General features: G+C 39.5%; 1 protein-coding gene across 14 annotated transcripts in view, besides 4 other annotated features; it reads left to right on the forward strand.

Moving 5' to 3' along the window:
• PCDH11X (protocadherin 11 X-linked) overlaps positions 1–13,156 on the forward strand; it is an 843,856-nt gene that overhangs the window by 312,712 nt on the left and 517,988 nt on the right. The gene's annotated exons all lie outside the window — the stretch shown is intronic.
• Positions 7,821–8,593: an enhancer, noted in NCBI's record as "OCT4-NANOG-H3K27ac hESC enhancer chrX:91354906-91355678 (GRCh37/hg19 assembly coordinates)". NCBI's record gives its function as "activates a minimal SCP1, AML or CMV promoter by ChIP-STARR-seq in naive and primed H9 embryonic stem cells {active_cell/tissue: H9 hESC(naive and primed)}" and the evidence as "EXISTENCE:reporter gene assay evidence [ECO:0000049][PMID:30033119]".
• Positions 8,594–9,366: an enhancer, noted in NCBI's record as "OCT4-NANOG-H3K27ac hESC enhancer chrX:91355679-91356451 (GRCh37/hg19 assembly coordinates)". NCBI's record gives its function as "activates a minimal SCP1, AML or CMV promoter by ChIP-STARR-seq in naive and primed H9 embryonic stem cells {active_cell/tissue: H9 hESC(naive and primed)}" and the evidence as "EXISTENCE:reporter gene assay evidence [ECO:0000049][PMID:30033119]".
• Positions 10,912–11,685: an enhancer, noted in NCBI's record as "NANOG-H3K27ac-H3K4me1 hESC enhancer chrX:91357997-91358770 (GRCh37/hg19 assembly coordinates)". NCBI's record gives its function as "activates a minimal SCP1, AML or CMV promoter by ChIP-STARR-seq in primed H9 embryonic stem cells {active_cell/tissue: H9 hESC(primed)}" and the evidence as "EXISTENCE:reporter gene assay evidence [ECO:0000049][PMID:30033119]".
• Positions 11,686–12,457: an enhancer, noted in NCBI's record as "NANOG-H3K27ac-H3K4me1 hESC enhancer chrX:91358771-91359542 (GRCh37/hg19 assembly coordinates)". NCBI's record gives its function as "activates a minimal SCP1, AML or CMV promoter by ChIP-STARR-seq in naive and primed H9 embryonic stem cells {active_cell/tissue: H9 hESC(naive and primed)}" and the evidence as "EXISTENCE:reporter gene assay evidence [ECO:0000049][PMID:30033119]".

A 13,156-nucleotide genomic window follows, 5' to 3' on the forward strand; every position in this document is an offset into this window, starting at 1 on the left:
AATCCCCATTTGATGGAATTTATGGTTTGTAGGGTGTGACTCCCCAGACCCCTTAGACAGGAATTTGGGCAAGATAAAAAAGTTAGAGCTTAGTCCTCATTCTCAAATCTAGGTAGTTTGACGTGGTTGTATAATTGCCCAATATCTCAGCAGGCAAGGAACTGCAATTTATATCTTTCAGAACTTTACAAGGTAATACACTGAAGACACCAGCCTTACTCTAAGGAACACAAACGTATATAGTAGTGATCTCTGTGTGATGTGAACTCTGAAAATTTGAGACAAGTCTTAGTTATTTTAGAAAGTTTATGTTGCCAAGGTTGAGGACACACGCCCATGACAGCCCCAGGAGGTCCTCAAAACATGTTCCCAAGGTAGTCAAAGCACAGCTTGGTTTAGTACATTTTAGGGAGACATGAGATACCAATTAACACATGTAAGATGAACATTAGATCGGTTGGAAAGGCAAGACAACTCGAAGCAAAAGCAGGATGACTCCAGGGGAGAGAGCTTCCAGGTCATAGGTATATGAGACAAACGTTTGCATTATTTTGAGTTTCTGATTAACCTCTCCAAAGGAAACAATCAGATAGGCATTTGTCTCAATGAGCTAAGGGGTATCTTCGAACAGGAGGCAGATTTGCCCTAAGCAGTTCCCAGCTTGACATTTCCCTTTCGCTTAGTGATTTCAGGGTTCCAGGATATTTTCCTTTCACAGAGATGTGGTTTGGATCTGTGTCCTTGCCCAAATCTCATGTCCAATTGTAATCCCCAATGTTGGAGGTGGGGCCTGGTAGGAGGTGATTGGATGATGGGGGCGGTTTCTCATGGTTTACCACCATCCCCCTTAATGTTGTTGTGGTAATTGTGACTGATTGAGTTGTTGCAAGACCTGGTTGTTTGAAAGTGTGTGGCACCCCACCACTCACTCTCTTCCTCCTCCTATGGCCATGTCAGAGGTGCCTGCTTCACCTTCTGCCATAACTGAAAGTTTCCTGACGCCTCCTCAGAAGCCACTATGCTTCTTATACAACCTGGAGAATGCCGAGCCAATTAAATCTCTTTTCATTATGTATTACCCAGTATCAGGTATTTCTTCACAGCAATGCCGGAACAGACTGTTACAAGGTGTATATAGAGAAATGTGACTATTGTGTGGCGAGAGGGTACGTTTTCATCCTCACATGCTGAAAAGTGAGAAGAGGAATATACTCGAGAATGTATTTTGATACATAAATATTATTTCATTGCTTTTCCCTTTTAGCATAATTTGCACATTTTAAATCATGTAACCATTTCAGAGAGAAAACTATATTAATTATGAGATAGTTTTATCTACAGCTTGAACTATAGAAGAAATTTATTACTACATCAGTGTGAACCAGACCATATTTAAATAGATTATTTAACCTGTGGACAACAGGGTTCCAGAGTAGTGGTAAGAATTCCGTAAGGAAATTACCTTTATTCTTGGCATAGACTTTGCCTAGTAAAAAGTGAATAGGCACAAATGTCTCCTATGATTTTATACCTAATCACTGTTCCCTCTTGAGATTCATCTATGCATGCTCAGCCCTTTTAATGGTATTTTTTTCAGGAATTTATCTGTATGAAAAGCAGTAGCCTGAGAAAATTAGTTACAGATTTGCCACCAAGAATGATAAATGTCTAGTGGAGCAGAAAAGAGGCATAGAACATGCTCAGACTCATCACGGAAAGTGACTCAATTTTCCAGTGTATCAGCATTTGTAAGAGAAATATATAGAATATAAAGTGATACGCAAGAGATGAACTCTCCAATCATTTTAAAGTGCCATTTGGGTATTATACATATTAAAATGTCCACATTTCTCATTTAATTAGGTTATTACAAGATACAAATTTAATATGCCTTTACTGAAACTCATGACTTCTTTTTAGTCCTAAATCTAGCTGTTTTCATTAAACACAAATTATATACGAATTTTTTATTCATAAAGCTTCATTCCTTTTTACCTATTTATATTTTGCTATTTAAAAATATCCAGCACCACACAAAAAAGTAATATGTGTGTGTGTGTGTGTGTGTGTGTGTGTGTGTGTGTGTGTGTATATATATATAAAACATTAAATTAAAAAATAGTAATATCTAGCATGGTTGTTTTGTTGACATCCCACACACTGGTTTAAATAACTGAAAAAAAAATGGACAACAGCATTTTATCAAGACTTTTCTTTGCAAACCATTTGAATTATTTTATAAAATGAGTAGAGATAGGTTACTTACCATTGCAGAATCTGTTTCTTTAGATATTAGAAATAGAGATTTGATTTTGAGCCATAACCTCTTGCTTAAAAGTATTCTTATGCCCTATGATATGCAGGTGTTATTCAGATTTAACTGTTTATCTCTATCTTTGAGGATATACAGGTATATATGAGGACAAGCCCACTTGTTCTCTCTTCCTAAAGGAATACACAAAAAATCAGGGTGTAGAAAAATATCTTATTTCTCCCTCATTTTATACACTAGGACAATGTGAGACATTTAACTGCTCTATCATGTCCACTACTAGGCTGTCTGCCAATTGGATGATCATACTTTCCAATTATCCTAGACTCTAGTACTTCAGTGTTTAGGACAGTTGGATTTTAACAACAGAATTCACTAGGACAATATGCTATGCCATCATGAATACCTTCTGGCTTTGGGGAAAAACAACAACAACTGTAGTGCTTTTTATGTACTTGGAGAATATTTTGAAATAAGTAAAGTATTAATTTCTAATATCTAGAGGTTTAGAAAAACATTAACATTCCTCTTTAATTTGAATGTTTATGATGTCACTCCACAAACACACATATTATTATCAATATTTAAATTACATCAAAGATATATCCAAGAACAAAGGCCCTTCATTGCAGTATACATGGTAATATATGCATTATCAACTGAAGAACACGGAGCAACAAGTGAATTCTGTAGAGATTTCAGCTAATAAAAATGCAAGTCCAAATCCCAAATCCGAGTCCTCCTATCCCCTAACCCCCAATCCCCAGCTGTGGTGAAATTTCCAGCACAAAAATGTCTAGGTTGTCATTAGTGTTTCAACAAAGCTAATGCATTTACTCTTCCATTGCTCACTAATTTTCAGGCTTTTTCTGCATTTCATATCCTCTCTTTGTCTCCTTACCTGCTCTTTTCTTCTTTGGTTACTTTTGTGACATTTTGTACCACATGTCCTTAGAATTCTATTCCTAATATTATGTTTTTTTCTCCAAAAATACTTTTCAAATGTTCTTCACAAGGTTCTAGTTTGTTGTTTAGAGGTAGGTACCCCTGAATAAGATATATCTTTTAATGTATATTTAATAAAATAATAATATTTCATTCTGGGGCTAGTATGGCACATCCCAAAGGAAGGAATTTGCATTTCTCTCTCATACTGTAATTTTTATTGAGTTTCTCATCTAGAAGTAACCTCCTTTTGATGTTGTCACCACTATAGTCCTAAATTAAGCCTACTTCAAAGCTTTAAACAATAAAAAATTCTAATTCAGGCAGAAAGTCAGCAAAGATACAGTGAACATATGCTATAAGCATGAAATTTGAACAATCTATAATATAAAAATATACGCCATTTAAACCTTATGTCCTACATATCAAGGGTAATGACTTTGCTTTTTAGTAATTAAATTTGTACACGTAGTGAAATTGCTAATGGATATTGATTGACAAGGCAAAAATCTTCACTTTGAGAAATCTTCCATTTTCCTAGAAAAATCTTAGAGAAGTTATTTAAGTGGCAACAAAGTTGATTCTGAATTACTTTTTGCTATTCAAGTTCCAAGACGAAGAGAATCATTGAGCACTTTTAGGCCAATCATCATGCATTTTTTCTTTTAGAAACAAAGTTAAGGTGTTCAACATCTTTAGACAAGTTCTTGAATATACTATCACAATTATTAAAGATTATAAAACTACAAATAATAGAATTAGTTACTTATATTGTTATCACAGTGGGCATCAAAGACAAGATGTTTCCCTTACATATATTTCTGAAGGAAAGTAAGGTTAGATTGAAATGTTGTTTGATATTTTCCAAAATGCAAGTCACTTGCTGAAGATCAATCTGCCTTCATATTTCAGATAATCAAGGGAGAGTCTGTCTACCTTATTCACAAACTGAATAAATAGAGATTCATTCTGAATGATATATGCAGGCCCCTTTTTCCTTTATGATTTAATATACAAGGCACGTTGAACACATGGGACATTATCTTCACTTGCTCTCAGGGGGACTATGTAAGAGGACTGAATGAATAGACAAGTTTATACATAGTTTAGGGGCCCTAAGTGGAGTGTATGTGTATGTGTGTGTGTGTGTGTGTGTGTGTGTGTGTGTGTGTATGTACCTGCTATATATGAATATATACACATATCATATTGTATTTGTCCATTTTCATGCTGCTGATAAAGACATACCTTTATGTCTGGGTAATTTATAAAGAAAAAGAGGTTTAATGGACTCACAGTTCCATGTGCTGGGGAGGCCTCACAATCATGTTGTAAGGAGAAAGGCACGTCTTACAAGGCAGTAGGCAAGAGAGAATGAGAGCTGAGCAAAAGGGAAACCCCTTATAAAACCATCAGATCTCATGAGACTTATTAAGTACCACGAGAACAGTATGAGGGAAACCACCCCCATGATTCAAATATCTCCCATTGGATCACTCCCACAACATGTGGGAATTATGAGAGCTACAATTCAAGATGAAGATTTGGATGGGGACACAGCCAAACCATATCACATACATACACATTGTATAAAATGATGTACAAAGTATGTGTATGGATGAATATATGGGAAAAGTTAGGATTAAAGTGGAACTGAGCCTAATGGATCTGTCAAACTCATGTCAATCTTTATTAGACAGAGATGTTCATCTGGTGATGGTACCATTTTAGCTAATAAGAAGGTATAAACTATTGATAATCTTGCTTACATTTCTCTTTAATTTTGTTTATTTTCTCCTCTAAGATTAGAAAGCAAAATTGAAAAAGTCAGGGACCACGCATGGTGGCTCACACCTGTAATCCCAGTACTTTGTGAGGCTGAGGTGGGAGAATCACTTAGCCCAGGAGTTTGAGACCAGCCTGGGAAACATACGGAGACCCATCTCTACAAAAAAATTAAAAAACTGGCCAGGTGGTGTGCACTTGTGGTCCTAGCTACTTGGGAGGTTGAGATGGAAGGATTGCTTGAGCCCAGGATGTCATGGCTGCCTTGTTGTGTTCACACCACTGCATTCCAGACTGGGAAACAGACTGAGCCCTTGTCTCAGAAAAAAAAAAAAAAAATTGAAAAAGTTCTCAGGAAAGATGCGGGGAAATATATTTTTTTCATTACACCATTCCCCCAACACGAATATATTTTATTTTTTTCTTTTCATTTCCTTTCTAAGTCTTTGCATCTCTAATGATGGTGTACATTCATATGAAAAATTTGATATTTAGCAGAATTAATACTCAGTTAATACTTAAAGCTATAGATTATAGTTTGATAAGTAAAAATGAGTTATGAATTATGCAGAACTCCATAGAATTTCAATATATGTATCCTCATTTTATTTATGTATCTGCTATATATATGTATATTTATATTCAGTCCTCCCTTGGTATCTTTAAGGGATTGGTTCTAGCACCCCCATAATACCAAAATCCTTAGACGCTCAAGTCCCTTATATAAAATGATACATAGTATTTACATATAGTCTACACACCTTCTCCTGTATATTTTAAATTATTTCTAGATTACTTATAATACCTAATACAATGTAAATGCTATGTAAATAGTCATTATACTGTATTATATATATTTGTATTACTTTTTATTGTAGTATTGTTATTTGTATTGGGCTTTTAAAATATTTTTGATCCTCAGTTGCTTGAAATCAAGAATGTGGAACCCGTGGATACAAGGTGCCGACTGCTTATACATATATGTATGTATTCAAATAATGAAATTCATTCCTAAAGCATGAATATTTTAGGGAAAAAAATGAGGTAGCAGACGATATCTTATTGATCCTAGGGATTTATTATTTTATTTTTTCTTCTTGCACCAGTGTTTCCTGGCCTACACTAATCTAAGTAACCAAAACTACATTTTATGTTGTGAGGTTGTGTGGTCAGAAATTGAGCCCAAGAACTAATTAAGGTGGAGGTAGATTCAACTCCAATGATAGGTAAGCACTCACTAAATGTATTTCTACAGCAAGACACAAAACTAATAATGAACATGATTGTGATACCATATACCTTCATTTCTATTTTGTTTTAATTAAATAATATAAATTCTTTCATAAATAAACATACGGTTGGTCATAGAAACCATCAGGCTAAACCAAAAGATGATGTTTGAATTTGCTCATCATTTTGTTCTTCCCTTAGGACACTAGCTAAAATCTCATCCATGGTTAAAGCACAGGCATGAGTCTCAAAATGTTCTTGGTATTGCCAGAAATCCACTGAGCTGGTTGTGCTTGTCCAGTGAAGCTCCAAATGCTCTTTTTTTTTTTTTTTTTTTTTTTTTTGAGACAGAGTTTCACTCTTTTTGCCCAGGCTGGAGTGAAATGGTGTGTGATCTTGGCTCACAGCGACCTCTGCCTCCTAGGTTCAAGCAATTCTCCTGCCTCAGCCTCCCGAGTAGCTGGGATTACAGGCATGTGCCACCATACCCAGCTAATTTTGTATTTATAGTACAGACAGGGTTTCTCCATGTTGGTCAGGCTGGTCTCGAACTCCCAACCTCAGGTGATCAGCCCATCTCAGCCTCCCAAAGTGCTGGGATTACAGGCCTGAGCCACTGCACCCGGCCCCTGAATGCTCTCTTTTAATTAATCATTGTAAATACATATGGATCTGTGTGTTCCTAAAAGGGTAATGACATGCCATACTGGCCACATCAAGCATGTTTACAAAGTATAGGCTAGTAACTCATATCTATTTTACCAAAACATCTCTAAAAACTGCTCTCCTGTCTTAATCATATTTTGATCTTGACTTTTTTTGTAACTTTTCTGTTAGAATTATCTATTCACACCTTGGCTCAGTATGTGCTTTTTGTTGTTAATAATTTCATGTGTATAGCTTTTTAGAAACTTTTACTGAAAGTCTGTATTTGCGTGGAAATGAAACCAATTAAGAAATACAAATGACATTTCTTTCCAGCTTGTCAGAAACTGTGAGAGAGAAATTAATGACAAAAGTTTATTGCTGTGTCTTCTTTTCAGTATGCTTCCTTCAAACTTCATGGCAGTAAATGCCAAATAACCTCATGTATCAAACTTAAAGCAAGCTGTGAGCCAGGTGTCTTCAACTGCAGGTCATATGCTGAGCTACATTCATCATTTTAATCTTTTGAATTAAATTCTCTAAAATTGAATAAACCTCAGTGAGACTGTGGTTGCTAAGAAATTCTTTAATTCTCTGACTCCTGAATTCTGTAATAACTTCTGCCTAGAATAAAAATGGAGAAAGAATAAGGTGCAGGTTTTGGCCCATAGAAAGCAAACAATACATGTTTTGAGTTAATTTAGTGTTAGCAACTTGAGAGCAGGGACCAGAGCCATTCTTTTACACAAAACACAAAAATTTAGTTCAATTTTTGTATATTTCATTGCTATGTATCCTGCTGTCATTCAGTGAAATTCTGCTTGTATTTATATGCTAAAAATTGTTGGGGAAAATTACTCCTTTTGGTAGTAATCAAAACCAATTCAATGTGCACTATGGTATAATGTTTAAGTGGAAAGTAGTAATCTCAATAATTTCTCTGAAAATCAACTCCAAGTTTCAAGCAGCCAAGGATGAATGATGGCTGCACTCCATATATTAATCAAAATAATCATTAAAGAAAATAAAGAACATATATTTAAAAGATTCCATCATATTGACAGAACAAGCATTTACAGCACTTAGCAGAATATGTAGTTCATATATTTTCCCTTAAGTGTTTTTTCTTATGGGTTTTTAATTTTTTAAATTTATTTTGGGGATTTTTAATAGATGATGTATTCAAATGATTTAAAAATTAAAACCATGTAACAAGGTACACACGAAGAAGCCTTTCTTCCAAGCTTGTCACTATTTCTTCCATATATCCTTCCTTTCATGCGCGTCCCTGTGAAGAGACCACCAAACAGGCTTTGTGTGAGCAACATGGCTGTTTATTTCACCTGGGTGCAGGCGGGCTCAGTCCTAAAAGAGAGTCAGTGAAGGGAGATAAGGGTGGGGCCGTTTGATAGGATTTGGGTAGGTAAAGGAAAATTACAGTCAAAGGGGGTTTGTTCTCTGGCGGGTAGGAGTGGGGGTCGCAAGGTGCTCAGTGGGGGTGCTTTTTGAGCCAGGATGAGCCAGGAAAAGGACTTTCACAAGGTAATGTCATCACTTAAGGCAAGGACCGGCCATTTACACTTCTGTTGTGGTGGAATGTCATCAGTTAAGGTGGGGCAGGGCATATTCACTTCTTTTGTGATTCTTCAGTTACTTCCGGCCATCTGGTCGTATCCGTGCAAGTCACAGGGGATGCGATGGCTTGGCTTGGGCTCAGAGGCCTGACATTCCTGCCTTCTTAATAAGAAAAATAAAACAAAATAGTGTTGAAGTGTTGGGACGGTGAAAATTTTTGGGGGGGTGGTATGGAGAGAGAATGGACGATGTTTCTCAGGGCTGCTTCAAGCGGGATCAGGGGCAGTGTGGGAACCTAGAGTGGGAGAGATTAAGCTGAAGGAAGATTTGTGGTAAGGGGTGATATTGTTGGGTTGTTAGAAGAAACATTTGTTGTATAGAATGATTGGTGATGGCCTGGATACGGTTTTGTATGAACTGAAAAACTAAATGGAATAAGAAGGAGAAAAACAGGTATAAAAGGTCTAAGAATTGGGAGGACCTAGGACATCTGATTAGAGAGTGCCTAAGGAGATTCAGCATAGTCCTGCCAGCAAAGATTATTTATTTACTTCAAGAGTTAAGAGTAGCGGTTTGGGGATAGCACAAGGAGATATCAGCTGTGATGGCTTGGAGAAACAGTGTAAACTGGCAGTGTAAACAAGAGCAGGGCATGTATGAGTAGTTGAGAACGGAGAATAGGAGTATGACTAGACAGAAAATAGTAGGGATGACAAGTTTTTTTTGGGGCACAGTCTAAGTTGGTCTGATGTCTGGAATGAGACTGCGGCCTAATAAAAAGGAGCATCTATACAGGAGCTTAAATGGGCTGTACCTTGTAGCATTCCGAGGACAGGCCTGAATTCTGAGAAGGGAAAGTGATAAAAGTATTGTCCAGTCCTTTTTGGTGGCTGAGCTTGGTGAGGTGTGTTTTTAAAAGACCTTAGTCCATTCTACTTTTCTTGAAGATGGAGGACTGTAAGGGATATAAAGGTTTCACTGAATACTAACAGCCTGAAAAACTGCTTGGCTGATTTGACTAATAAAGGCTTATCTGTTATCAGACTGTATTGAGGTGGGAAGGCTAAACTGAGGAATTATGTCTGACAGAACGGAAGAAATGACTGCGGAGGCCTTCTCAGACCCTGTAGGAAAGGCCTTTACTTATTCAGTGAAAGTGTCTATTTAGACTAAGAGGTATTTTAGTTTCCTGACTCGGGCATGTTGAGTAAAGCTAATTTGCCAGTCCTGGGTGGGGGCAAATCCTTGAGCTTGATGTGTAGGGAAGGGAGGGGGCCTGAATAATCCCTGAGGAGTAGTAGAATAGCAGATGGAACACTGGGAAGTTATTTCCTTGAGGATAGATTTCCATGATGGAAAGGAAATGAGAGGTTCTGAGAGGCGGGCTAGTGGCTTGTACTATAGCATAGCCTGCCTTTGCTGGTATGTGGCGATTAGGCCTGGTGGAACTGCCATCAATAAATCAAGTGTGATCAGGGTGAGGAACAGGAAAGAAGGAAATATGGGGAAATGGGGTGAATATCAGGTGGATCAGAGAGATACAATCGTGGGGGTCAGGTGTGGTATCAGGAATAATGTGGGAGGCCAGATTGAAGTCCCGGCCAGGAACAACGGTAATTGTGGGACTTAAGAAAGAGTGAGTACAGCTGAAGGAGCCGGGGAGCAGAAAGTATATGCGTCAGGTATGAGGAAGAAAATAGATTTTGGAAGTTATGAGAAATGTAGAGAGTGAGTTGAGCGTAGTTTGTGATTTTTAGGGCCTCTAAAAGTATTAAAGCAGCGGCAGCCTCTGTACGCAGACCTGAGGGCTAGGCTAAAACAGTAAGGTCAAGTTGTTTGGACAGAAAGGCTACAGGGTTCAGTCCTGGCTCTTGTTTAAGAATTCTGACCGCACGAACCATGCCTAGGAAGGAAAGGAGTTGTTGTTTTGTAAGGGATTGAGGTTTGGGAGATTAATCGGACACGATCAGCAGGGAAAGCATGTGTGTTTTTAGGAGAATTATGCCGAAATAGGTAACAGATGAGGATGAAATTTGGGCTTGACTGAAGTAATGGGGGCTGTCTGTGAAGCCTTGTGGCAGTACAGCCCAGGTAATTTGCTGAGCCTAATCGGTGTCAGGGTCAATCCAAGTGAAAGCGAAAACAGGTTGGGATGAAGGGTGCAAAGGAATAGTAAAGAAAGCATGTTTGAGATCTAGAACAGAATAATGGGTAGTAGAGGGAGGTATTGAGGATAGGAGAGTATATGGGTTTGGCACCATGGGGTGGATAGGCAAAACAATTTGGTTGATAAAGCGCAGATTCTGAACTAACTTGTAAGGCTTGTCTGGTTTTAGGACAGGTAAAATGGGGAAATGGTAAGGAGAGTTTATAGGCTTTAAAAGGCCATGCTGTAGCAGGCTAGTGTTAACAGGCTTTAATCCTTTCAAAGCGTGCTGTGGGATGGGATATTGCCGTTGAGCGGGGTAAGGGTGATTAGGTTTTAATGGGATGGTAATGGGCATGTGATCAGTTGCCAGGGAAGGAGTAGAGATGTCCTATACTTGTGGGTTAAGGTGGGGGGATATGAGAGGAAGACTCGAAGGAGGCTTTGGGTTGGGGAGAAGGGCGGCAATGAGATGTGGCTGTAGTCCAGGAAGAGTCAGGGAAGCAGATAATTTGGTTAAAATATCTCGGCCTAATAAGGGAACTGGGCAGGTGGAGATAACTAAAAAAGAGTGCATAAAAGCGTGTTGTCTAAGTTGGCACCAGAGTGGGGGGAGTTTTAAGAGGTTTAGAAGCCTGGCTGTCAATACCCACAACAGTTATGGAGGCAAGGGAAACAGACCCTTGAAAAGAAGGTAATGTGGAGTGGGTAGCCTCCGTATTGATTAAGAAGGGGACGGGCTTACCCTCCACTGTGAGTTACCTAAAGCTCGGCGTCCGTGATGGTCTACGGGGCTTCTGAGGCGATCGGGCAGCATCAGTCTTCAGCCGGTAAGCCAAGAAGGAGTCAGTCAGAGAGCCCTGGGCCAGAGTTCCAGGAGCTCTGGGAGTGGCTGCCAGGTGAGTTGAACAGTCCGATTTTCAGTGGGGTCCCACACAGATGGGACGTGGCTTAGGAGGAATCCTGGGCTGCGGGCGTTCCTTGGCCCAGTGGCCAGATTTCCGGCATGTGTAACAAGTTCCTGGGGGAGAAGGTTCTGGAGGAACGCCTGGCTGCTACAGTTCAGGCGTTTGGAAGTTCTTGTGTGCTGGAGATGTGGCTGGGGTTTGTCTCACAGTGGTGGCAAGGAATTGCAACTTTTTTCTGTTATTGCACACCTTGAAGGTGAGGTTAATTAAGTCCTGTTGTGGGGTTTGAGGGCCAGATTCCAGTTTTTGGAGTTTTATTTAATGTCGGGAGCAGATTGGGTAATAAAATGTATATTGAGAATAAGACGGCCTTTAGACCTTTTAGGGCCTAGGGCTGTAAAGTGTCTCAGGGTTGCTGCCAAACAAGTCATGAACTGGGCTGGATTTTTATATTTGATGAAAAAGAGCCTAAACACTATCTGATTTGGGATAAAGAAAAAGGAGCATTAACCTTGACTATGCCTTTAGCTCCAGCCACCTTTTTAAGAATAAATTGCTGGGCAGGTGGGGGAGTGCTAGTCACGGAATGAAACTGTAAGCCGGAACAGGTGTGAGGAGGGGAGGCGATAAAAAGATTATAGGGTGGAGGAGTGGAGGCTGAGGAAGAATTGGGACCTAGCTCAGCCTGTCGAGGAGGGGAGAGGTCAGATGGGTCTGTAGAAAAGGAAGATTAGAAAGACTCAGCGACACTTGGGGTTGGTACTGAGGGGACAGGCGGGAGGGAAAGAAAGAAGATTTGGGAGGAGTTGCACTGGGCACAGAGACTAGGAGGGGACTGATGTGTAAAAGAATGCCTGGACGTCAGGCACCTCAGACCATTTGCCCATTTTACAACAAGAATTATTTAGATCTTGCAGGATGGAAAAATTGAAAGTGCCGTTTTCTGGCTATTTGGAACTACTGTCGAGTTTGTATTGGGGTCAAGCGGCATTGCAGAAGAAAATAAGACGCTTAGATTTTAGGTCAGGTGAGAATTGAAGAGGTTTTAAGTTCTTAAGAATACAGGCTAAGGGAGAAGAAGGAGGAATGGAAGGTGGAAGCATAGTGAAGGAGGCAAGCCCAGAGAAAAGAGTAGAGACATGGAGAAGGGGTGGGGTTTTCTTCCCCTCCAGAAAAGCAGAGAAAGAGTTGGGGCACGGAAATAAGGGATTGGGGTGCAGAGATAAGAGATTGGGGCGTGGAAATAAGGGATTGGGGCACAGAGATAAGAGGTTGGGGCGTGGAAATAAGCGATTGGGGGGTTCTTGCCCCCTAGGAAAGCGGGACTTGCCACTAAGGGTGAAGGAGAAGGGGTTGAGGGGTACTTGCCCCTGCCCCAGGAAAGCGAGACTTGCCACCAAGGGTGAAGGACCAAGTCAGGCATCCCTGCGTGGTCTGACATCCTTGAAACGTGAGTGTATAATCAGAGAGGTGTCCCTGAAATGATTAAACACCAAGGGAAGGCTGCCTTCCCAGTCCGTGACCGGCACCGGAGTTTTGGGTTCACGGATAAAACATGTCTCTTTTGTCTCTACCAGAAAATGAAAGGAATTGAAATTAAGAGAAGGGAGAGATTGAAGTGTGGTTCCAAGATTGAAAGGAGAAAGAGGT

The sequence above is a fragment of the Homo sapiens genome, chromosome X (genome assembly GCF_000001405.40).
Source record: "Homo sapiens chromosome X, GRCh38.p14 Primary Assembly".
Classification (NCBI taxonomy): domain Eukaryota; kingdom Metazoa; phylum Chordata; class Mammalia; order Primates; family Hominidae; genus Homo; species Homo sapiens.